This window comes from Homo sapiens, chromosome 7 (assembly GCF_000001405.40).
Source record: "Homo sapiens chromosome 7, GRCh38.p14 Primary Assembly".
Taxonomy (NCBI): domain Eukaryota; kingdom Metazoa; phylum Chordata; class Mammalia; order Primates; family Hominidae; genus Homo; species Homo sapiens.
Window position 1 is genome coordinate 92,111,782 of NC_000007.14, and position 25,407 is coordinate 92,137,188.

General features: G+C 38.8%; 1 protein-coding gene and 1 long non-coding RNA gene across 4 annotated transcripts in view, besides 6 other annotated features; one reads left to right on the forward strand and one right to left on the reverse strand.

The window, feature by feature from the left end:
- On the reverse strand, nucleotides 372-23,022 carry CYP51A1 (cytochrome P450 family 51 subfamily A member 1). Of its 2 annotated transcripts, none has more exons than NM_001146152.2 (10): nucleotides 22,885-23,022; nucleotides 19,993-20,091; nucleotides 17,099-17,275; nucleotides 15,724-15,850; nucleotides 14,472-14,646; nucleotides 11,953-12,072; nucleotides 11,339-11,534; nucleotides 6,739-6,834; nucleotides 5,263-5,431; nucleotides 372-2,062 (listed from the first exon to the last, which is right to left on the reverse strand). In NM_001146152.2, exons 3-10 carry the CDS (start codon nucleotides 17,249-17,251, stop codon nucleotides 1,884-1,886), a joined length of 1,215 nt encoding a protein of 404 aa, NP_001139624.1. In that variant the 5' UTR covers nucleotides 17,252-17,275; nucleotides 19,993-20,091; nucleotides 22,885-23,022; the 3' UTR covers nucleotides 372-1,883. The 2 variants fall into 2 exon arrangements, with proteins under 2 accessions (NP_001139624.1, NP_000777.1); NM_000786.4 differs by lacking the exon at nucleotides 22,885-23,022 and adding an exon at nucleotides 22,392-22,696.
- Nucleotides 22,031-22,857: an enhancer, noted in NCBI's record as "H3K27ac hESC enhancer chr7:91763126-91763952 (GRCh37/hg19 assembly coordinates)". NCBI's record gives its function as "activates a minimal SCP1, AML or CMV promoter by ChIP-STARR-seq in naive H9 embryonic stem cells {active_cell/tissue: H9 hESC(naive)}" and the evidence as "EXISTENCE:reporter gene assay evidence [ECO:0000049][PMID:30033119]".
- Nucleotides 22,031-23,684: a biological region, named in NCBI's record as "H3K27ac hESC enhancers GRCh37_chr7:91763126-91763952 and GRCh37_chr7:91763953-91764779".
- Nucleotides 22,032-22,081: an enhancer, noted in NCBI's record as "active region_26257". NCBI's record gives its function as "activates an Ori minimal core promoter by ATAC-STARR-seq in GM12878 lymphoblastoid cells {active_cell/tissue: GM12878}" and the evidence as "EXISTENCE:reporter gene assay evidence [ECO:0000049][PMID:35858748]".
- Nucleotides 22,242-22,291: an enhancer, noted in NCBI's record as "active region_26258". NCBI's record gives its function as "activates an Ori minimal core promoter by ATAC-STARR-seq in GM12878 lymphoblastoid cells {active_cell/tissue: GM12878}" and the evidence as "EXISTENCE:reporter gene assay evidence [ECO:0000049][PMID:35858748]".
- Nucleotides 22,662-23,321: an enhancer, noted in NCBI's record as "active region_26259". NCBI's record gives its function as "activates an Ori minimal core promoter by ATAC-STARR-seq in GM12878 lymphoblastoid cells {active_cell/tissue: GM12878}" and the evidence as "EXISTENCE:reporter gene assay evidence [ECO:0000049][PMID:35858748]".
- The window catches only part of CYP51A1-AS1 (CYP51A1 antisense RNA 1), a 46,163-nt gene continuing 43,537 nt past the window's right edge, over nucleotides 22,782-25,407 (forward strand). For both annotated transcript variants that reach the window (NR_122109.1, NR_122110.1), the window contains exon 1: nucleotides 22,782-23,301. This is a non-coding gene — a long non-coding RNA (CYP51A1 antisense RNA 1). The remainder of the gene's footprint in view (nucleotides 23,302-25,407) is intronic.
- Nucleotides 22,858-23,684: an enhancer, noted in NCBI's record as "H3K27ac hESC enhancer chr7:91763953-91764779 (GRCh37/hg19 assembly coordinates)". NCBI's record gives its function as "activates a minimal SCP1, AML or CMV promoter by ChIP-STARR-seq in naive H9 embryonic stem cells {active_cell/tissue: H9 hESC(naive)}" and the evidence as "EXISTENCE:reporter gene assay evidence [ECO:0000049][PMID:30033119]".

Sequence of the window (25,407 nt, forward strand, 5' to 3'; positions counted from 1 at the left end):
TGATAGTAGGCCTCTGCAATCACACTTGTTTATGCATCTCAATAATTAATTAGTCTGTGATTAAAAATGAAATCTGTTAAGAAGTCTAAAACTATTCACTAAACATTAGACTAGCCTTATCTCGGGGTCGTAACTAGATACTTCAAGAAATCTGTAACATCTGTAATATGAAAATATCTGAGATTTCTATTGACAAAATCATGGATACTGCTAATAAAATGCTGCCCAAATTCATAATTGAAATAAATACTAAATTGCAGTTAGAAATTATTAGTGCAAATAAAGATGTAATTTTTCCCCACCCAAGTTCCTGGATTCCCTAACTCTGCTCACTGAAGCACATATTTTACAATTCATGAATACAGACTGTATTTTTTCAAAGAGAATTTTAATCTGAAAAATTAGCAGAGATTCTGCCTTCACAATTAGAGTTTAACATGAGTCTTCCAGTGTTTTAAAAAGAACTGTAATATACATAAAGCAAAATATTTTGGCATCACCTAGTGAAAACAGACGATGTGGTATTTTTTCAGCCATCTCATATAGTTAGGCCCCGAGTTACAATTTGAGATAAGTTGATTCCTAAACAGAATGTGCTTTACAGAATGTGACCAATTTTATTACTCCCAAGGACCTTGTTTCAGATTATCTTAAAACCAGAGTTCACTGATCTCACATTTTAAAAAGAAAAAAGTTTGTTAACTGTTTTAATCAATATGAGTAGTAACAAACATCCCTAATTGGATTCTAGAGAGGAAGCAGGGAAGGCCAGGTGCGGTGGCTCATGCCTGTAATCCCAGCACTTTGGGAGGCCAAGGCGGGTGGATCACGAGGTCAGGAGTTCAAGACCAGCCTAGCCAACATAGTGAAACCCCCGTCTCTACTAAAAATACAAAAAATTAGCCAGGCATGGTGGCAGGTGCCTGTAATCCCAACTACTTGGGAGGCTGAGGCAGAGAATTGCTTGAACCCGGGAGGCAGAGGATGCAGTGAGCTGAGATCGCACCACTGCACTCCAGCCTGGGCAACAGAGCGAGACTCCATCTCAAAAAAAAAAAAAAAAAAAGGAAGCAGGGAACAACTGAGCCAAAACAAAATTATCCCCTAAGGACTTGACTTTGGACTTCCACATAAATGTGACCTTGTAGAACTAGATACATATTTATCAGGTAAATAAATATGTAATTATTTAGTAATTAGATCAAGATACATGAGCAGTCTTTAGCATTAATAATTACATTATTTTTAGGAACTCTTATCAAATATGGTCCTGGATCTCTTAATTTCCCATATGCAGTGATTTTAGTTAAAATTCCAAAGGATTTCTTTTTCCTATAATATCTCCATTTCTGAGTATCATCATACCAAAACAATTAGTATTCTCTTATTCAAGGCTTTAGATGTTCGATTATTCCCTACCCTTCCATCCTCACACACACAATAATTGCCCAGATAAATAATAATAAACTGTGGTTTCCAAGTATCTCACTGGGATTTTTATTCTTTATACCTTGCAGGACTAGTCCAAGATTTGAATACCCTGAACTTATTTGGCAAGAGCGATGAGTACTCTTAAAATTACTATCTGGAAATTATATTATTTAGAATCTGCCAATTACCTAGATCCCCCCTCAACAATTGTTTCACCAAGGAACTTCCTGAAAGCACATGTATAAGTATCATAACTATTAGAAAATGTTTCAAATGCTATTATATTTGATAGAACCATTCAGTTAACAAAATCCTAAATCATAAACTGGCTTTTAGAATTACACACTTAAAAAAACAGTAAACTACAAGAGTTGTTTTGTACACTTCATTCTCTTCGAATGCCTTTGTGGCTTACAGTGATAATCACATATATTCGTTCCTTGCAACCTTTTTCATTTTGATCTTCGTTTGTAACGGATAACTGGGTTTTCAGGGGTGTGAATCATAGTTGTATAATTCACAGTGGGAAAGTATCCATCAATGAGATCAAATTCATATAAACGAAGCATAGTGGACCAAATTGTCTTAATTTGAACATAGGCAAAATTTTCCCCAATACAACGATGACGCCCTAAAAAAAAGAAAAAGTTATAAGAATCAGTTTAAATTCTTTCTCATCCTTTTTAGCCTGGGGTGATATTATCTACATTTTAGATGAACAGCAAATGTACAGATAATATAATAAAAAGATGACATTCTTTTCACATAAAACAACATGAATTATTAAAAATTCCAGGAGATTTTCAATACCACATTTTAGGAAAACAGTACTTGACTGATCACATAACTTTTCCAATTACTTTTTCTGAAAATATATATCTGGGTTAAATATATGGAAAGTTTGAATCATAAGATGGTAATCTAGTTTGGGAATATAGTAGAATATTCTGTTTGTCCCAAGAAAGCCCTAGTTAAAAGTCAATATGAAAACCTTCCAATCAAACCTCAAATGTCATTATAAATGTATGGAAGAAAATGAGATTTAATGAACCCAAAATAATATACTAAAAAGTCACACCCATGTAGAAACTGACAAGCTGATTCTAAAATGCATATAAAAATGCAAAGGACCTAGGATATCCAAAGCAATCTTGGAAAAAGAACTGAGTTGGAGGACATAAAACTGATTTCAAATCTGACTTCAAGACTAAAGATAAAACAGAGTGGTACTAGGTAAGGATCAACAAATAGATCAATGGAACAGAGCAGAGAGCCCAGAACAGAATATTTTTATGGTTATTTGATTATCAGTACAGACACCAAAGCAAGCCAATGAGGAAAAGCAAGTCTTTTCAACATAAGGTCCAGGAATAACTAGATATTACATGGGGGAAAAATGAAATTCAACTCCTATGTCACACCATAATCAAATACTAATTCAAGAAGGGTCACAAACCATGATGCTAACAGCATAAATTTCAGTAGAGAAGAACAGGAGAATATCTTCATGACTCAGGGGCTAAGCAAAAATTTTAAGACAGGGCCAGAAAGCAATAACCATTTAAAAGATTGATACATTGGACTAAACTAAAGGTTATTCATTTGTCAAAACTCAATGAATGTTGACTTAAGATTTGGGCATTTCATTGCAAGATTTTTCATCAAAAGAAAAAACCTAAACTGATAGTGCTTAGCACAGTGCTTGCTTGGCCCATAACTGTACTTATTTCTAGGAGTGACATTTAAGATGAGCATTTACAAATTGGTCCATATTTCAAATATAACAACTAAAGAGAAGCTTGGCTTACAGGAAGAATAGTCCAAGGATTTAATCGCAACAAGCAAGAAGTATCCTAATTGAATCAACATAAGAGTAGATAAATTCTGATGATTCACAAAATGTAATATTATGAAAATGAATGAACTATATGCACCAACATAAATAAACAGCACAATTACGAGGTAAAAGAATGAGTAAAGAAATTAGAGACATGTAATGTGATATTTAACAAGATTAACGTAAGATCATATATCCCCCCATAAATTCAAGTCCATCCAGAACCTTAGAATGTGATCTTAATTGGGAAATAGGATCTTTATATACACAATTATTTAAGATGAGATGACCCTGACTTAGGGTAGGACTTAGATCCAATGACTGGTGTCCTTATAAGAATGCCATGTTAAGATACAGAGACATGAACAAGAAGAAAGCCTGTTGAAGACAGGGGTAGTAATTGGAACAATGTAGTTACAAGCCAAGGGTTGCCAAGAGCCACCAGAAGCTAGGAAGATGCAAGGAAGGATTCTCCTGTAGAACCTTAAGGAGGAGCACGGTCCTGCCAATACCTTGATTTCACACTTCCAGCCTCCAAAACTGTGATAGAATATATTTCTATTGTTTTAAGCCACCCATATTGTAATTAGTTACAGAAGCCCTAGGAAACTAACACAAAGATTGAAAAAAAGATGGAGGAGACATTATATCTGTACTCAAATACCTCATACAATATAAGTTCAGAGACTATGGTTAGGACCAACTATAAATGAGATGTTAAAAAGAAACAGATTTCAGCTTTAACATAAGGCTCTAAAAATGACAGCTGTCCAAACATAGAATGAGCCATCATAAAAGGTAACTGAACAACCCACAACCCATTTCTAGTAAAGTTCAAGTGGAAACCAGATAATTACTAGTTTAGAAACGATTCCTCTTTGGGGCAGAATTTGGGCTACAGAACTAATGCTCTTCCCATCTGTTAACAATCTGATTCTTTGGCCAGGTGGCATGGCTCACGCCTGTAATCCCAGCACTGTGGGAGGCCAAGGTGGGCAGATTGCTTCAAGCCTGGAATTCGAGACCAGCCTGGCCAACATGGCAAAACCCAGTCTCTACTAAAAGCTCAAAAATTAGCTGAGCGTGGTGGTACACACCTGTAATCCCAGCTACTCAGGAGGCTAAGGCACGAGAATTACTTGAACCCAGAGGTGGAGGTTGCAGTGAGCTGAGAGATTGTGCCACTGCACTCCAGACTGGGTGACAGAGCAAGACTCTCTCAAAAAAAAAACTATGATTCTTTTATATATTGTGTTATACACCACAGTATTAAATTTATTACATAAAGTTAAGATCTGAAGTTCCCAAAGGACTTTATATTTTCCTTTATATGTGGAAAAAGTGTGACCAATGACAAGTCATCTGTCATTTAAATGATCCCTTTGGAAAGACTAAAGCATAGAATATAGTTTAATCAGTACAGAGAACCAATGGACAGAGAAATTACTGGAGAAACAAGGGTATAGCTAAATTATTTTAGGATCTTACTGGAAATGAAATTTGCAAGCCTACACACAACCTGCCCAAATTTAAAGACCATTTTCTCATACGGATATTCAGAGAGCAAAAATGTTGACTAACGATCGAGAAGAGCTTTAATTTTAAAAGACTGCCTTTGCTTTTTTGTGAAATGCTAGTAATCTGTTATTCCCTGAATGGTGTGCTGACTCCAATGGTTCTTTAAAAGAGAATCCACAAAGAGCTTTAAATACCATTGTAAGGGAAAACAAGGATGTTCTATAAAAATTAGACCTAATAAAACCAGACAGGTTAGGAAGTAGTGAAGCATTATATAAGGATTTATGGAACAATTCCATTTGGTACAAAGGAAATATTTTTCTCCAACTTATAAAGATTCTTCTCCTAAAAAAGTTTGCAAAAATGTCCCTATGAGGAAAGGGAGAGATAATTTGTAAACACAATTCGGAATATTTTGACAGAGACAAATATGTTATCAGAACAAACATTTCCAATCTAAAATATAATCATCTTACCAGCTCCAAATGGCACATAGGCAAACTTTTCCCCTGATGCTGGGTTATCCTGTAAGTAGCGATCAGGATTAAAGTCCAGGCGTTCTACCCATGAGTCTTTAAGTCTTTGATTGACAGTGGGAGAAACACACACCTGATGTCCTGGAGGAATGGTATACCCTGCCACAGTCTATAAACAAAAGCCACACATTTCATTAGAGAATTTAAAAATGTGCTGACAAATAATCAGATCATTGTGTAATAAAGCATGAATATACATGGGATACTCAGATGCTCCTTGACTTATGATAGGTTTACATCCTGATAAATCCATCATAAAGTCAAAAAATTATAAGTTGAATCACATAAATCAAGAACCATCTGTACATATATTTAAAAACTGGCTAGATAATAGGCAAACTAAAAATTATTTTAACTCAAGATGATTTCCAGTGAGCCAGCGTTGGGTTGGAAGTACACAGTACACAAATCAAACCCATAATGCCTTGGAGGTAGGGTTGGAATTTCAGAGAGGCTTTCACTATCAATTTGTACACTTCATATTAACAATTTTTTACAACAAAATGTTATTTTTAAAACCAAGAAAAATATGTACTTTGATTTTTAAAACCCCAATTGTTAAAGAAAAATGCAGAACATGATTAGCATTAAAGATTAGCATGTAGGCCGGGCGCGGGATTACACCTGTAATCCCAGCACTTTGGGAGGCCAAGGCGGGTGGATCACCTGAGGTCGGGAGTTCGAGATCAGCCTGACCAACATGGATAAACCCCATCTCTACTAAAATACAAAAAATTAGCCAGGCATGGTGGCATGCCCCTGTAATCCCAGCTACTTGGGAGGCTGAGGCAGAAGAATTGCTTGAACCCGGGAGGCGGAGGTTGCAGTGAGCTGAGATCGCACCACTGCACTCCAGCCTGGGCAACAAGAGTGAAATGCCGTCTCAAAAAAAAAAAAAACAGATTAGCACGTATACTATCTACAATTAGGTAAAAATATGTTTTTAGAGTATATAAAACTGAAGATTAGGTAGAAGTGATTATTCTACTTTTTTAATTTAAAAAAATCTCTTTTATGCTACTCTACTTCCTCTTTTCTTTTTCTTTCTTTTTTATTTTTATTTTTTTTGAGACAGGGTCTTGCTCTGTTGCCCAGGCAGCAATGCAGTGGCGTGATCATGGATTACTGCAGTTTCAACCTCCCAGGCTCAAGCAATCTACCCACATCAGCCTCCCAAGCAGCTGGGACCACAGGCATGTGCCATTATGGCCAGCTAATTTTTAGAAAAAATTTTGTAGAGATGAGGTCAGTCTCACTATGTTGCCCAGGCTGGTCTCAAATTCTGGCCTCAAGTGATCCTCCCACCTCAGCCTCCCAAAGTGTTGAGATTACAGGTGTGAACCACCACACCCACCTATTTCTTCTTTTTGATAAAAACTGGGGGTATAGAGGGGAAGATGTAGCCAAGATACTCACCTGAGGAGTTCTGGCCATTCTCATCATGATCATTATAGGAGGTCTAAGTCTTAATGTTTCTTTTATACAGCGATCAAGTAAATTTAGATCCTTGAGCTAAAATGAGAAAGCATTTCCTGATTGTTATAAATAACATACTTCAACAGTACAAAAAATTAGTTTAACTTCTTAGTTAGTACAAGACAGCTTGCATTCCAGCTAAAAGTACAGAGGTAACTGGTTCAGGGTGGCTGGGGTTATCATGCTCTACCACTGTCCATGGTGAAAAAGGAGGGCAAGGTAACAGAAGCGATTGCCCTGAAGAATGAAGTAAGAACCTACAAAAATTCACTCCTCCAAAAAATGAAAACAGTAGCAACAATCTTAATGTCAACTTTTTCAAAATTCTGGAAGATTAACCAAAGGCTTGCAACAATCTAAGGAGAGTTAATTCAAGAAAAAGAAATCTGAATCTTGGTAAGAAGAGTAAGCTTTGTGGTAGTGTAAGTTGTATTTCTTTCATCCTCCTCTCCCCAAATCCATGGTAGCCCCGGAAACCAACAGCATGACAACTATAGCAGCTGTGAAAGCCAGAAGCCTAACAACTATTAGAGGAGCCAGAGCAAATTTTCCAAAAATATTTAGCAAAAATTGTTTAACACTGAAGGCGCCTGAGATGGTGATATCAGTTGGTGCTAAGAGACAGAACAAGAAGTTTAAAAGGGAAAACTGGGGAGTAAGATGTCCACAGGAGACTTTGAAAAGTTCCAACATAAGAGAATCTTGAAGGCCACACATATGTATAAGACCATGCATATGCCCAGGTAAGATCTAAGAGGCTGTAATCTTTTACCTCTGGCTGACCTGTACACACAGGTAGTGAAGGCAGACTTGTAACTGCCTGTTGGAGTGTTAATAACATCCCCTAACACACACATACAGAGCCTTTCAGCAAAAGCTAGGAGACTGGCTGTTCAAAGCACTTCAGTAAATCTCTGTCCAAATATTAGATGCCCACTAAAGTAAGCAAGCAGAGATTTCAGTGACCTCACTGAACAAGGAATGACATAATTAATCCAGGAAACGCAGTAAACAAACAGCAGCAGCAACAACAACAACAACAAAGAGCCAGCAACAATAAACCCAGGGAGGAGGGCATCTGATTTCCACAGTTGCCACATTATTTTAAATGTACAGTTTTCAACAAAAAAATTACAAAAAACACACCAAAACAGGAAAGTATGGCCAGTACATAGAAAAAGCAAGCAGTTTAATAGAAACTATCCATGAAGAAGCCCAGACATTGGACTTACTAGATAATGAATTTAAATCAGCTATTATAAACAGGTTCAAAGAACTATAGCAAAATATGCCTAGATATCTCTAGTAAAATGGAGAATATCAATATATTATTTTTTTAGAGAACCAAATAGAAATTCAAGAACTGAGAAGTATGAGAACTGAAATGAAAAATTCACCCGAGGGGATCAACAGCAGATTTGGACTGGCAGAAGAAAGAATAACATCAAAAAAATAACAATAATAAAATACTTAAGAATACATTTAACAAGAGAAGTTTAAACATTGTGCACCAAAAACTATAAAACATTGTTGAAAGAAATTAAAGAACTAAAATAAGAGAAAGACATCTCATGTTCACAGATTTAAAGACTAAAATTGTGCTCCCAAATTAATATGGCGATACAATGCAATCATTGTCAAAAATCTCAGCTAGCTTCTTTGCAGAAACTGACACACTGACCCCAAAATTCATATGGAAACTAAAGGGACTAGGAGTAGATAAACAGCCTTGAAAAGGACAAAGTCAGAGGACTCACACTCCCGAATTCAAAACTTATTACAAAACTACGTAATGGCATCAGACTAAACATATCAATGGAATAGAACTGAGTCCAGAAATAAAGCCTTAAATTTATGGTCAAGAGGCTTTTTAAAATGTATTTATTTTTTCAGAGACAGGGTTTCGCTATGTTGCCCAGGCTGGACCCCAAGTCCTGAGCTCAAGCGACCTTCCCATCTCAGCTTCTCAGTAGCTGAGAATACAGGCACGTGCCACTGCGCCTGGCTATAATAGATTTTTTTACAAAGACAATTCAACGTGGAAAAAATAGTCTTTTCAACAAACAGTGTGGGACAACTGGATAAACACATGCAAAAGAATGATGACCTCACATCATATACATAAATTAATTCATAATGGATCAAAGACCTAAATGTAAGATATGAAACTACAAAACACTAAGAAGAATACACAGAAATAAATCTTCATACACTTTGATTAGGCATTAGTTTCTCTGACACCAAAAGCACATTAAAAAAAAATAGATGAACTCTTACAACTCAATAATAAAAAGACAACTCATTTTAAATATGGGAACAGGATGTGAGCAGACATTTCTCCAAAGAAGTATACCAAAGCCAAAGAACACATCATAAGACACTCAACATCACTAGTCACCAGGGAAATGCAAAATCAAAACAAAATACCAACTGGGCATGGTGGCTCACACCTGTAATCCCAGCACTTTGGGAGGCCAAGGCGGGCAGATGACTTGAGGTCAGGAGTTCAAGACCAGCCTGGCCAATATGGTACAACCTTGTCTCTACCAAAAATACAAAAATTAGCCAGGCGTGGTGGTGTGTACCCAGCTACTTGGGAGGCTGAGGAAGGAGAATAGCTTGAACCTGGGAAGCCGAGGTTGCAGTAAGCCAAGGTCGCGCCATTGCACTAGAGCCTGGGCATCACACCAAGACTCTGTCTCAAAAAAAAAAAAAAAAGTATCACTTCACACCTATTATAATAAAAAAATCAAGTAACAAGTTTGGTGAGGGGGTGAAGTCAGGACCAACATATACTGTTTAGTGAGATTTGAAAGTGGTGCAGCCACTTTTTAAAACAGTCTGGCAGTTCTTCAAAGTTACCTTATAACCCAGCAATTCTACTCCTAGGTATGACCCCCCAAAATTGAAAACACATGTCCACATAAAATCAGTACACAAACGTTTAGAGCGGCATTATTCATAATAGTTTAAAAGGTGGAAACAACTCAAATGTCCATCAACTGATGAACAAATAAACAAAATGTGGTCTATCCATATAATGGAATATTATTGGTAATAACAAAGACTGAAGTACTGATACATGCTACAACATGGAAGAACCCTGATAACATGCTAAGTGAAACAAGGTAGTCACAAAAGACTACAAATTGTATGATCCCATTTACATGAAATATCCAGAATAGGCAAACTCACAGAGGCAAAAGGAGATTAATGGTTGCCAGGGGCAGCAGTCAGGGAGAATGAAGCATGACTGCTAATGGGTACCAGCTCTCTTTTGGGAGTGATGTAAATGTTCTAAAATTAAATTATGATGATGGTTTCCCAACTCTTAATATGCTAAAAACCACAAAGTGTACATTTTAAATGGATGGATTTATGCTATGTAAATATATCAGTTAAGCTGTTATTTTAAGTTACTAAAAACAAGAATGAGTGTTGAGACATCACTACTGAGCTTACAGAAATAAAAAGGATTATGAGAATACTATGAACAATTGTATGCCAACAAATTAGGTAACCTAGATGAAATGGACAAATTCCTAGAGAGATATAAACTACTGAAACTGACATAAGAAGAAATGGAATATCTGAATAAACCTGTAACAAATAAATTGAATTAGTAAGTAAAGTCTTCTCAGAAAGAAAAGCACAGATCTAGATGATTTCACTGCTGAATTTTTGCAAATATGTAAAAAAGGATTAACACCAATCATCCACAAACTCTTCCAAAAATTAGAAGAAAAAAAGAATACTTCCAAATACATTCTATGAGATGAGTATGATCCTGATATCAAAACCAGTCAAAGACATCACAGTGAAACTAGAGATCAATATCCTTTATGAATATAGATGCAAAAATCCTCAACAAAACACCAGCAAGTTTATATGTAGTAACATATAGAAAGAACTATGCACCATGACAAAGTAGGATTTATCCCAGGAATACAATTAACATCTGAAAATCAGTGTAATGTGCCATATTAATATAGGACCAAAAGCACAAAAGATAACAGGAAGATGACATCACCAAGGTTTGCTTCCAAGATGGAATGTCAGGTTGTGCAGTGAGTTGTCCTCTCTTCCTTTCCACCCAGCAAGTTGCATGTAGTATTTGTAAATGTCTTGTCCTCATTACTACTACTACTACTACTTTTAGAAGTCTCTGCTCATGCCCAGGCCACTCTGGACATACAGAATTCTAAGTAATTCAGAGGCTTCTACACTTCATAAGACACACAACATGCACATAATATCCTCTATGTACAGAAGCCAGACTTTGAAGCAGAGGAAGTAAGTACCAAAGAAACATCCCCAAGGATCTCTAAGCCATCAACCCAAAACATATCTGATAAAGCTTAATGGCAAGAAGCAATAACATTAAGATATTTTAGGTAAGGTTATAGGGAATTTGCTAAAAATAGAGAAGCTGATCAATTTAAGCTATAGTATATAGAAAATCTCAAATTGTCCCTTTTAAAAATTAGCCACAGATCCTCAAAGTCATAAGGCAGCAATGAAACTGAAAAATCCAACAAACCTGGTCATAAGTTAAAGGAGGCAGATTCTCTCCACAGACTGTTTTCTGTTCTAAATAACATTTTTTTTGAAGTGTTTTGTCTCTGGCCAAAAAGAAGCCCATCCAAGCACTAGTAGTTGAGGATGTATGCTGCCCTGCCAAGAGTAATCCAATAAGCATCCCTGCTACTTCATCATCAGTCAAAGGACGCCCATCCCTAAGGAATGAACCAAAGACACAAATTTAACATTTTGGCAGATACATTTCATGCCTCAACCTTTAAATAAAGTGTCATAATGAATACATTTTTCAGGTATAGTGGTCTCTTATATTTGACTATCACAAGTCAAGAGTTTTTTTTCTCTTAGGGAAGAGACAGACCAGCACAAAACGATTTTGATTACAAAAGACTCCATTACAGTTCATTAGCAAACTTTTACCATACCCAGTCACTGGGATTACAGTAAGACACAGGATGCCAATAGTTTATGTCTCAACAATTTAAAGAGTCCAAAGATCACAGCTACCAACTTATTTTGCCAGCATCACTGTTTTTTAACTGGAAATACTATTTAACTGTGTTTTAATGTGTAATTTCCTGCTTCAGCTTAATATGTTATCTGAATAGCTCTTACTTGTATGTAGCATCTAGTAAAGTTTGGAGAATGTCATCAATTTTTTCTTGAGACTGTCTGCGTTTCTGGATTGCCTTATAGAAAATATCCTTGATTTCCCGATGAGCTCTGTCCCTGCGTCTGTAATTAAAAGATAAAGATGATTTTCTTAAATAAAGAAATAACCTTCTAGGATCAAATTCATTTTGAGAACCAGGACCGAGCATAAAGCATCTTATTTAACCAACTTTAATGACTCTAAAATAATTGACAAAAAAATCAGAACCAGGAACATACTGGAAGTCATGAAAATCTTACATTGTTAAAAATGTCCATAGTCCCTAAGGGCAAGAACTGTGCTTTATTTAACATATATATCCCAGATTCTTAACACATTGCCTGTGTTCAAACTAAAGGCCTAAAACAAGCAAGAAATTCCTTTAGAAGTATTTTCCAGTTCAACAGAAAGTAGGATACTCTTTTAAATTAACATAAAATTCCAATTTTAATACCAAATCAAGTCTTAAAGCAGAAGAGTCACTCTGGTTCTTCCATGGAATCTGGTTCTACTTTTCACTTTCTAATACAATAGTTTTTTGTAGGGGGTGAAAATACTAGCAGATTCAGAAAACAAGCTTCAACTCCTAAACTTTACCTTTAAATAGTATGTTCACTATGTAGCAGGTACCATGTTAAGTGTTTTACATGAATTACTCACTTTTATCTTCCTGTGAGGTACATACTATTAACCTCAAGTTATAGCTAGCTGCATAAGATCACACAGAAAGCAAACATTGGAGCTGGAATTTAAAACTAGGCAGTCTGACTCCCAAGCCCCCTCTTAAATCAAGCCTTCTAAAAAAAACTCCTACTCTGTTTCATTTACAAGACTGTTAATCTGTTATTGAGGATCAACTGAAACCATGTGTACAGAAGAGAAGATGTTGGGGCTTAACTGTATGAATACAGTCGAACCAGGAAAACATAGGCCTGTTTAAGAAAGTGAATTGAATAATCTGGTTAAATTAGTTGGTATGAGTAGAAGAAAGAAAGACTGGGCCAGAATGTGAAGGGCCTAACATAGCAAGCTCTGACTTCATCCAAGAGACAGAGCAGGTAGAAACAGGCAGGTAGAAATGTACATTTATGGGCCAGGTGCAGTGGCTCACGCCTGTAATCCCAGCACTATGGGAGGCCGAGGCGGGCGGATCACAAGGTCGGGAGATCAAGACCATCCTGGCTAACACGGTGAAACCCCATCTCTACTAAAAGTACAAAACAATTAGCCAGGCTTGGTGGCGGGTGCCTGTAGTCCCAGCTACTCGGGAGGCTGAGGCAGGAGAATGGCGTGAACCTGGGAAGCAGAGCTTGCAGTGAGCCGAGCTCATGCCACTGCACTCCAGCCTGGGCGAGAGAGCAAGACTCCATCACCAAAAAAAAAAAAAAAAAAAAGAAATGCACATTTATGGAGAACCCACTATGAGTCCAGGGCTGTGCTGGGTGTTCTAATATAAGATATATGAAAACATTTTGAAACTGCAAAGCTCCTTGCAAATATAAGGTATGATGAGTTCCAGAGAACTTTAGGGAATCTCTCCTGGCTCTTCCTTTTACTCCCACCCCTCTTCCAATCTGTAACTAGATAGAGGGGGCAGAAATAGAAGAAAAGGGACTAGCAATCTATCTCCTCCCCATCTGTCACCTAAACACCAATAAATCAACAAAAGTACAGAAAGCCTACTAATATGCAAAACACTAAGCACTAAGCTATAGATCAAGTCCTAAGAGCAATATTTCTTTATATCAGAGGCAGTCCCTGTCCTTAAGAAACAGAAAATTAAATAAAGGCACAAATATTTAAAACAAAGAAACTTCACAATACAATAAAAAGCCACCAAAGATTTCAAACAAGTGCTAGAGAAGAGCTGTATCACTTTTAGGTATAGTTCAGAGACTTTCCTGAGGATAAGGAATACGTGAGGTAAGCAGGCTTTTAAACTAGGCTGGGCTCAGTGGCTCACGCCTGTAATCCTAACACTTTGGGAGGCTGAGGCAGGTGGATCACCTGAGGTCAGGAGTTTGAAACCAGCCTGGCCAACATGATGAAACCCTGTCTCTACTAAAAATAGAAAAATTAGTTGGGCATGGTGGCACGTGCCTGTAGTCCCAGCTCTCAGGAGGATGAGGCAGGAGAATTGCTTGAACACAGGAGGCAGAGACTGCAGTGAGCCGAGATCACACCACTGCACTACAGCTGGGGCAACAGAGCAAGACTCCATCTCAAAAACAAAAACATAAATAAAATATTAGACTAGACAGACAACAAATCACCTTTTTAATAAACTGAAACTTACTTTAAATGAGCTCATTATATAAAGAAAATTTGTCTTGAATTCTTATAGAAGAAAGGGGATTCATAATCTTACCCATTTTGTATGTTTTACTTGTTTAATTTTTATCTTTGTTAAGGCAAAGCATACCAACACTACAATAATTATACAAAGTTAAATAACCTAGTGTAATATATTCTTTATCCATACCTGAAACTAGGCAAAGGCAGCCAACCTGGTAAGAGCCAGGCTGCATGGCTGAAACCTCCATCCAAATCTGCATACAGCTGTGCTACCTTTTCATTGAGTTGACTTCTGATTTCCTTTCCATGCAAACAATGGCTAGCTGTTAAAATTATGAGCTCAGAAAGAGCTTCAAACACATCTAGGGAGAAAAAAAAGATTATTCTCATTACTATTTCCAAAAAGTGAAAGAAAATTGAGAATTAAAAACAGAACTCAAGAAGAAACAAGATCCTATTCATATCATCAAAAAAAGTCTGTAGACAGACATGTGACTATGTACAACAACAAAGAGGGGCAATAAACCAAACAATGTGAAGCACCCTGTCCCTCTAAACAGCCAAAACAGATCCCAGAAACACATCTCAAAACCCCACTCATGAGCACTTCATCATGAAAAGAATAAATGTGGTTATTTGATTTCCAGGTCACAATAACAAAAGCAGAAAAAAGGTTATTTATAGTGCATATGACAATAATAAGGTACTTCCCAAGGAATAGTAGCCAAAGATCAGATTATTTCCCAGGTTAAAAGTAGGAAGATCAGGGCCAAAATGGAATTACTGGCGATATGTAAAAGAAAACTATAATCACCAATTAGTATATCCCAACACTGGAGACAAATGCACCAGGCAAGCATAATTTGATGACAACTAATAAAAATTATCCAATTAATTTCCTGTTAATTCCACATTCACTAAATGAACTTCCAATGATCATCTGGCTTTCCAATTATATTTGTCAATAAAAAGAATATCAGTAAATATTCTGGATTTCTTGGTGCTGTAATTATATGTCTCACATGCATTATTACATTGGCATTCTAATTTATACATCAGTTTCTTGTATGGTTAGAAAATATATCAATATCAACTTAAGTATACCAAAAACAAAGATTCTGGAACTCTTACAGAGGCCAAAGGCCAGACCCAGAATATAGTGACCTGCTGCCCTGGGTCCTGCTGCCCTGTGGGCAGATGTTGCTTCCTACTATGGGCACAGCAATTGCTTCTGAAGGCAATACTTAACTTGCAGCCCAGTATAAAAACTGGATTCTCAGTTACAACTTCATGGTAATCATTACATAACCCTCCCATAAATCTAAGGTAGTTTTACATACACTGTAATTTGTTTTTTATATACTACACACATATATACTCTACTTTTCTATTCACAGAGAAGTAGAAATGTTAGGACAAACATAAAACATTTTGCTTACTTTTTTCTCCACTTTCTCCCCAACTCTCAAAGTATTCCTTTGTTTCTTTTTCAATTATAGAAACATGCTGTTTAAAGTGGGCTATGTTAAGGCCACTTTTTAACATTTTCTTCTGCTCCAAGAAAACCTTCAAAAAAATTCAAAACGGGGATACGGCATTAAAACACATTTTTGTTTTATCATAAAATCCATTTAGGTTATTATAATTATGTAACACTAACACAAGTAATGGTTTTAACCCTTTGGGCATTTACATTTTAAGAGTCTAAATGAATAGATCTATCTGACTCTAAATGAATAGAGTCTAAATGAATATATATATCTGAACAGAGGGATTTTCCAGGGCCCTGTTTTTTGGCCTTAAGGAGAGGCATTCATTCCCTCATTCCCCATCACTAGAAACAAGATTTAATGTTAACTCTTAACTGCTATACTAGGGTACTGGCTAATGTGTGTTACATTCACAGCCAGAGCCCATACCAAGCATTGGGGCCAATTGTCTGATTTGTGTTCTATATCAACTTAAAACAATTTCGTATTTGGCTTTTGAGGGTAAAACATACACATAGATGTACCCCACACGTGAAGTTGTTGCATTAAAAGAGGACTTCTGAAGTCAGCAATCTCTAAACAGCGCTTATGTTAGAATTTCAGGCAGGAATGGGTAGGCAGGAAGTCCTTTTGATGAAGTAACAGCATTGTCTAATAACCCTTTCAAATTAAATCCCAGTATGCTAAGTTATCATTGATTCCATTATTTGTACAGGAAGCCCTTTAATATTGTTTAGCCATGACAGCAAATATAAAACTAAATACCCATTACTTATCAGTTATCCATGGCCTTTCTTCTCATGATTCTTCAGACTTTTGAACCAAGGAATAAACTGGTTCTACATTTTATTACATTTTTGTTTGGTTGGTTTCTGTGTGTGTGTGTGTGTGTGTGTGTGTGCGCGTGCGTGTGTGTGTGTGTGTTTGGTTTTTTGTTTCTGTTTTTGAGACAGGGTCTCACTCTGTTGCCAAGGCTAAAGTGCAGTGTTGTGATCTCGGCTCACTGCAACCTCCGCCTCCTGGGTTCAAGCGATTCTCATGCCTCAGCCTCCCAAGTAGCTGGAATTTACAGGTGTGCACCACCAGCCCCACCCAGCTAATTTTTGTATTTTTAGTAGAGACAGGGTTTCACCATGTTGGCCAGGCTGGTCTTGAACTCCTGACTTTGAGTGATCCACCCACCTTGGCCTCCCAAAGTGCTGGGATTACAGGAATGAGCCACCATGCCTGGCTGTTTCTACATTTTAAATGTATAATGTCTCACTATTAGCTATAACTACTGAGGTATAGATTTGTCTTTATTTATGGTAACAGTGTCACCTACTGGATTAGGCACATCGTATGCAACTCCCTTCCCAAACACAGGTGTTGTCAGGCGACTGTAGACATCTTCTGCATTCAGGTCTTCATTTTTACTATTAAAAAGCAGTGCAGCAGCATCACTCCCCAGAAGGTAAGTAAATGTCTTGCCTACCATGGTAAAACTAAATACAGGTCCATACTAAAAAGAGAAAAGTACATATAGTGATGTTACAAAAAATATGCAACACTACGACAGTAACTTTTTAAAATCACAAAATAATGCATTATTAAAAAAATAAAAACATATATAAACCTTAAAGCAATTCTTTTCATCTTGCCATACTCCTCCTTCCTTTGTCCAAATTTATAATTATGTTCATTTAGTTGCAAATGTAGTATAAATATAACTGTTTATTATGCTTTTTTCAGTTTATATTGACAATGTTTTCTATTGTCTATATAAACATCACAATGTTAATTTACTGACTACTCTTTCATTATTGGACATATGGGTGATATGTCAGGGTTTTCTTTAGTTATTACAGCTAATTCTGTGATGAACACCTCTGAAAATATAGACTTCTTCCCCCTTTGGTTAAAAACAAATTTTACAAGACTAGCCAAAGAATTTGACCTTTTCTATAGTACCTGCTATGTGAAGACACTACAAGTTTATTTATCTATTTTAGCACTATCTCACCTACACTAAATGACTTCATTTTTTATTTTATATTAATTTGGTTAGATGTTAAATACTTTCCCTTGCAGTTTTCTGGTTATGATTGAAGACTAGACTCTGGGGGTATAATCATGAAAAAAAATACTGTCCCAACTCACCAAGCTTAGTCTATTGGAAAAAATACAAATTAATCAAATAATCACATTAACAAACATAAAACTGCAAATGTGACAAGTATTACAGAAAGGAAAGCAACTCTGTGATGAGAGAATCTAAAAAAGGGAGACCTAATAGAGGAAAAGACAACTAGGTTGAGACCAGAAGAATGAGGAGCTGGTTTGGTAGCTAAACATACACAAAGGCCCTAAAAGTAAGAGAAAGAGAAAGGAGGAGATGAGAGTTGAGCATTAGGCAGTGCTAGACCATACAGAGCCTCATAAGCCATTTTGAGGAAGTTTTTAAACGGGTGACAAGAATTTTTCAGAGAAAAAGGAAAGATGCCATTGAAAAAGAAGTCAACAATACACTGAGAAAACAAATAAAAGTAAAAAGTTCCTGAGACAAAAGAGGGATGGAGAGTTCAGCCTCCGATAAGAGGCAAAATATAGTTGTAATAAAATCAAAGTGGTAGAACGCAGTGAGCCAGACTGTCCGTGTTCAAATCCCAGCTCCTCCACCTACTTGCTGTATGACTTTGGTCCTATAGTCAGAGAACTTAGTCTCTCTGTGTTTCGTTTCTCTCACCTATAAAATGGTAATAATAATAATAGCAGTTCTTCACAGAGCTGCTGCCAAATTTTATATACAGGGCAGAGAAGAGTACCTTGGCTTACTTAGCATCTTAATGACTTGTTTTCCATTATTGTTATCATTAATAAAAGTATAGGCTCAGAAATCAGACCATGTGTAAATCCTGGCTTGGCCACTGTCTAGCAGTGAGTCCAAGAAGAAATTATATATCCTCTCTGCTTCTCAGTTTTGTCATCTATAAAACAAATATACCTGAAAGGGTTTTTGTGGAGCTTCAGTGAGATGATCTTTGTAAAGCACTAAGTACTGGCATAAAGTAAGTGTTTGATAATTATTACTGTGATAGGAAGAAAGAGAATAGGATTACTATATAAATACAAGTAGGTTTGCATATTTGAAATTGAGAAAATGAGGAAGTTTTCTTTGAATGTTTTAATAATTGTCTCCTAAATCAACGTTTTTAATCATTGTCTCCTAAACAGGAGAAAAAATCATCTGCTTTGATGGAGAGGTAGAAAGATTCAGAAGTTTAGAAAAGTGAAGGTTTGAATTAGTCACTGTAATGAGTGGAAAAGTAGGCCCAATCACAAGAACATAATAGGACTGTGGAGCAGTGTTCAAATATCATTAAGGTAGGCAATCATAAAATCAGGAAGAAACTAATCTGGTGCAGAAGGAGACAATAACTGGCTGCCTCCAAGGGTGACTTCTGCCAGCTGAACACAATGAAAAGATGCGGGGTCGAGGAAATTTAAAGTACAGTATTGCCAAGAGTGTAACAGAAACGACATGCCATGGACCCAAAGCGGAAAGAGGAAAGTGAAGAATGAAGGCTGATGGATCAGGAGAAAGTAAATGGAATGCAAGATCCAATGAGGTCAAAGAATAGTTATAATTTAAGGAGTTGCACAAGCAAACCAGGAGACGGTATGGTCTACGAATAGGATATCTAAATTAATATTGTGGAAGTGAAACAGTTAAGAGTGACAAGTCCAAAGCGAGACTGTGAAGTAAATGGCTTAACTGGCACAGGGAAGCTCATTAGAGAGAAGACGGGCAAATAATTGAGTAGCTATGGTGTCATGTGGGTCATTCAAGTGGACAGTGAAATCACAGAAGATGTATAGAGCAGGTTAGAAAACCCCACAGATGCATGGTAAAGAAAAATGAGGGTTAATTAATATCAATTTTAATGACAATAAGTGAATAGAAAACTCAGAACAGTGGCTTTTAAACCATAGTTGCCAGAACTACAGGTTTCCTCAATGGTGTCTCAAAGACGACCCCAGGACATGGGAAAAGCTAAAAGGATAGGTATCTATAAGACACCATCTCTTAAACCAGAGCAGTTTCCATTTTGTTTCCTATACTGAGGATATGTATATGATTACAATGTTTTTAAATGTTCTGCCACTTTTTTAAAAAAGTTTAAAAAGCACTTCTCTAGTTGTTTTTTTTTTTTTCCTCTAATTATTTGGAAGACTTACCTTCTCATATGCATTTTCTAGAAATTCAATTGGACTTTTCCCAAATGCTATGGCATGCCCAAGGAATGGAATTGGGGAGAAAATGTATGGAGGACTTTTCTACAAGAGAAAAAAATAGTAAATTCAATTCGTGTTTCATTTCAAGAGAGAAACCCAGTTTCGTTTCATGACCAAACAATTAAACAAAATAGCTATTAAGACTTCAAAAAAAAGTTACCAAAAAAAAAGGAAGCATCAGAAGTAACTTGAGAACAGCCAAATTGCAAATACCTCAAGAGAGTAGCTATTGTAGAAAAGAACAGAAACTCAAAACACGGTATAAGATAAACGACCAGATAAACACTAAGGCACTGTAAATTTAAATGATGGACACTGTCCAGAATATGTCCAATTATTATTGGTGTCTCCAGGCAACTTTTCTAACCATTAGTAGCAAAAAACCAAAAAGGTCAAACTACACTTGTCCCTTGGCATTTGTGGAGAACTGGTCCCAGGACCCCCTCACAGATTTGTATCCAGGGATCCTCAAGTCCCTTATATAAAATGGCAAAGTATTTGCGTATAACCTATGCACATCCTCTCATATACCTTAAACCATTTCTATATTACTTACAATACCCAATACAATGTAAAGGCTATATAAACTGTTATTAAACTGTGTTTTTTTATTTGTATTATTTTTTATTGTTGTGTTATTTTGTATTGGGTTTTTTTCCCCTGGGTATTTTAGATCTACACTTGGCTGAATTCCCAAATGTGGAATTCGTGTCCCCAGAGGGCCCACTATATTGTTTCTTCACTACTTACTACTACTACTACTCACAATTTTAGTCCCAGATACTTGCTTAAAGAAGGTATAGAAAAAGACAAGCAGTAACTTGTAGTATAGAAAGAAGGGAAATGTTTAAGAAGCTATATTTACTTCTCAGTAAACAATCAATCTCATGCTTCTCTCACTGCAAGTGAACTAGAGCCACTGATTTTAGAGTTTTTAAGAGAGTAGATCAGCTCTAGCAAGAACTCTAGCATTCTTCATAAAAGTTTCTTTAGATGCCACAAAATGAGACCTGCAGATTACAACATTAAGTATCCTGAAAATCAAACAAAATAATGAAAAAGGGTAATACTCCTCAATTCTCTGGTGGTCTCAAATAGAAAGGAGCACCACAACCTCACAGTACACCTCAGCTAATAGAACTATCTTTAAACACTAAAAGTAACTTTGTCTTCCCAGAGACAAATATCATTTCCTTAAAGATCCCATGTGTAGGAAAAAAATAAATAAATAAATAACTCTTTCTTATGCCTGGTATGGTTCAAACAAAAATTATTTTAAAAGCTACTTGGTCAAAAGTTTGTACATTGCATTGTCAGTAAAAGGGTAGTTTTCAAAAGCTACTTATTGCTGACTGTAAAAGGCACAATCAAATAACATTTGGGAGATTGAAAGCTAGGTTAATAAGGCTGTTAAATTGAAGAAAATGATTTTTTTTTTTTTTGAGACGGAGTCTCATTCTGTCGCCCAGACTGGAGTCCAGTGGCGCAATCTCGGTTTACTGCAACCTCCGCCTCCTAGGTTCAAGTGATTCTCGGGCCTCAGCTTCCCAAGCAGCTGGGACTACAGGCGTGTGCCACCACATCCAGCTAATTTTTGTTTTGTTTTGTTGTATTTTAGTAGAGATGGGGTTTCTCCATGTTGTTCAGGCTGGTCTGGAACTCCTGACCTCAGGTGATCCGCCCGCTTCGGCCTCCCGAAGTGCTGGGATTACAGGCGTGAGCCACTGCTCCCGGCCGAGAAACTGTTACATTATTAGCATCAGAGGAAGGCCCTTACCACACTCCAGTCACTACCATTACCACACTCTACACATCCTCCTTAATATGGGTATAAACCACCATTAGGGGCACTGCTACAGCCCACAGAACACTGAACCACACAGGGCAGCCTCCAGGATGACGGGCCAGCTGCCAACAGCATCTCCGTCAGGACCCCCACCAAGGGCCCCAACGACCACCGGGTCGTTCAAACCCACAGCCGCCAATCCAGCCACCGCCACTAGGGGCACCACTGCTGCGGTCAGTACAGACCGCTACAACCACAAATGCCGCAACCACGACCCCGTCTAGGATCAGATACACAGCCGGGGAGGCCAGCACCGCCCCCCAACACAAGGCAATGGCGGGTGCTACAGCCAGCGCCACCAGCAGCAGTGCCGCCGCCGCAGCCACTACTCCAGCCCCCAGCGCGCCTGCCACCAAAGCCACGCCAAGCATGGCCGCAGTCGCCCCCGCCCTTGCCATCCACTGAGCCGGTCGGGGCCACGGAGCCGCCCACGCCAGCCCTTCGGCCGCCTCAGCTGCGGCGCGCGCCCCACTCAGACCCTAAAGAATGTACGTACCACCCCTGCGGGCAGCTGGACCAGGTGGCCGGCGGCCAGACGGATCAGGTAGACCAGGCTGAGGGTGAAGGCGCAGGCGATCAGCAGCATGGACAAGAGGTTGCCGCCTGTCACCTTCTCCATCGCCTGGCCCAGCACCGACCCACCCGCCTGCAGCAAGCCCAGCAGCAGCATCCCAGCCGCCGCCGCCATTCACTCCGTCGGAAACACTGAAGGCCGAGGTCGCCACCGCTCCTCCCAATCGACGGAACGAGAGAAGCTGGCAGATGGTCGTCCACAGGGGGCCTTGCCCCAGGTCTCCTACTAAACCCAGCCCCACCCCTCGGGTCCCACGCGCGCCACCCCGTGCGTCACAGAATGGGGCGGGATGTTCCGCTGGCCACGCCCCTTAAATAACACTCTGTGAAGCCGTGGTCTTCTTGCGCGGGATAGGGCACCTGAGGAAGCGGGCTGCGCCTGTGGCACAGTGGTACGGGGCCGGAAGATAACTTACCTGAAGAGGCGATCAATCCCTGAGAATCGCGGGCGACCCGTTTTTTGTGTGCCCGGGTGCGGGGTGCCGGGACACGGCGTTGAAGGCGCTGAGCGGAGGGATCTCAGGGCGAGCTCGAGCGGCGACGGCGCGCTCTGTGATTGCACCGCGAGCGCCTGAGGTGATCTCGGCCTACATCGCGTCAGCGGGGCCTTGGGCGTGAGCACCGCCCCCTGTCCGGACGCAGGGTACTGGGGCACCTCGAACTGTGGCACCTCACCCTTCTCCGGGGCCACGTCTTGGGGACTCCGACAGCCCCAAATAAGCCCTCGGGGACTGGGGTTGTGAAAAGCGAGGTCGTGAAGACGCCGGCCTCATACCGAAGGGTAGGACGGTGAGGTCAGCCCCGTCCCACTCCAACTAAAATCAACCTGACAGGTATTAATATGCCACCATGAAGTTAACAAATGTTGGTGATTAAGTATGCTAGGTTTTACGAAAACAGATTTTCCAAAATAAATGTACATGTTTTAGGACGTCGCGAGCCGTTTGAGGCAGCATTCCCCAAGGACGCCACTTAGTCTGTAGGTTTAGCGGCTAGAAAGATTCAGAAGCTGAGTTCAGTCCTGCCGCCACAATCAATCTTCGCTCCTATGGCTTCACAGAAGCGTCTCCCATGACTACCAAATTTAACTCCTTCCAGATCACCCACGGGAGCACCTGACCGGATTCATTTATTTAATCAATGTTAAGAACTAGGTTTTGTGCTAAGCTAGGGGATAGAGCAGCGAATGAGACAAAACTGCAAGGCCCTGGGGGAATTAGTAGGAATATCCAGTGAAAGGGAAATTAATGAATTTTATAAGTATACTAATCAAGAAGTATATTCTTTTCCTTTGAGGTAGAATGTAATATAGCACCTCCCCTACCCAAGGCCTGGGTTAAGAGTATATTAACTGCTTATTTCTCCCCTATGCGTGGAGAGGCTTATCTGTGTTCCATCGTTTCACATTCCTTGAGGCACAGCGAGTTCTTGCTTCCCTCCCTAGCGCTGCTGTAAAGTCACAAAACTGATTAGCAAGTGTTACAAAAGCATGTATTCCCAAGGACGTAAGACATATGGTGTAACAAATGTAAGAGTAATTTACTGCCTTTGTTCTTGCTTCTGCAAGTACACTTCATGCAACACGTAACTCCCAACACAAACTGCTTAAAAGGTGATTGATCCCTTTGTTCGGGGCTCAGACTTTCTGGACCCTAGTCCGACTGAGCCGGTGATCACCTTAATAATAAAGGCTCTCCTGAACTCTGCTCGGTCTCTCCCGTCTATGATTTGTCCCGCAACACCAGTTGCCTGCGGAACACCTCTACCTAGAGAGCTAACACTCATCCCCGGTCAGTAAATCCAAAACTAAACCCGTTGCCTCCTCCTACCAACCTGTCCCTCCTATAATGCCTGTGAAGAAAAGGCATCACTGTGCACACTGTTGCCCTCTCCATGCTTCATCTAATCAGTCATCAGATCCTATAATTCTACCACCTTAAAAGTTTCACCGTTTCTTCCGTCCAGTCGCGGTGGCTCACGCCTGTAATCCCTGCACTTTGGGAGGCCGAGGCGGGAGGATCACCTGAGGTCAAGAGTTCGAGACCAGCCTCACCAACATGATGAAACCTCGTCTCTACTAAAAATACAAAATATTAGCCGGACGTGGTGGCAGACGCCTTTAATCCCAGCTACTCGGGAGGCTGAGGCAGGAGAATCACTTGAACCTGGGAGGCAAAGGTTGCAGTGAGCCGAGATTGCGTCACTGTACTCCAGCCTGGGCAACAAGAGCAAAACTCTGTCTCAAAAAAAAAAAAAAAAAAAAGAAAGAAACTGTGATATATATAAATATATATTTATATATTTATATATGGAATGGAATGCTACGTGGTCACAAAAAGGAATGAATGAATGGCATTTTCAGCAACCTGGATGGGATTGAAGACTATTATTCTAAGTGAAGTAACTCAGGAATGGAAAACAAAACATCATATGTTCTCACTCCTAAGTGAGAGCTAAGCTATGAGGATGCAAAGGCATAAGAATGACACAATGGACTATGGGGACTCAGGGAAAGGGTGGAAGGGGGTGAGGGATAAAAGATTACAAATTGGGTTCAGTGTATACTACTCGGCGATGGTTGCACCAAAATCTCACAAATCACCACTAAAGAACTTACTCATGTAACCAAATACCACATTTCTTAAAACCCTATGGAAATAAAAAATTAAAAAAGAAAAAAGAACCCAACAGTCTTCTATTAAGCCAGGTGTAAAAGAGATTTACAAAAATCTAAAACTATGCCATTCTTCTCACTAATATTTTATTTTTGAAAATATAGCTATAGGCCGGGTGCGGTGGCTTACTCCTGTAATCCCACCACTTTGGGAGGCCCTGGTGGGTAGATCACAAGTTCAGGAGTTTGAGACCAGCCTGACCAACATGGTGAAACACCATCTCTACTAAAAATACAAAAATTAGCCAGGCATGGTGGCGCGTGC

Excerpts from the sequence above, each read along its gene's own strand:
- CYP51A1 (NM_000786.4), bottom strand. The coding sequence starts at position 22,583 with ATGGCGGCGGCGGCTGGGATGCTGCTGCTGGGCTTGCTGCAGGCGGGT. Across the intron at positions 15,851-17,098 it reads CATACGATGTGCCTAATCCA|GTTTTCTTGGAGCAGAAGAA; the intron begins GTAGGTGACACT and ends ATTTTTTTGAAG. Across the intron at positions 2,063-5,262 it reads CTATGTGCCATTTGGAGCTG|GGCGTCATCGTTGTATTGGG; the intron begins GTAAGATGATTA and ends TCTTTTTTTTAG.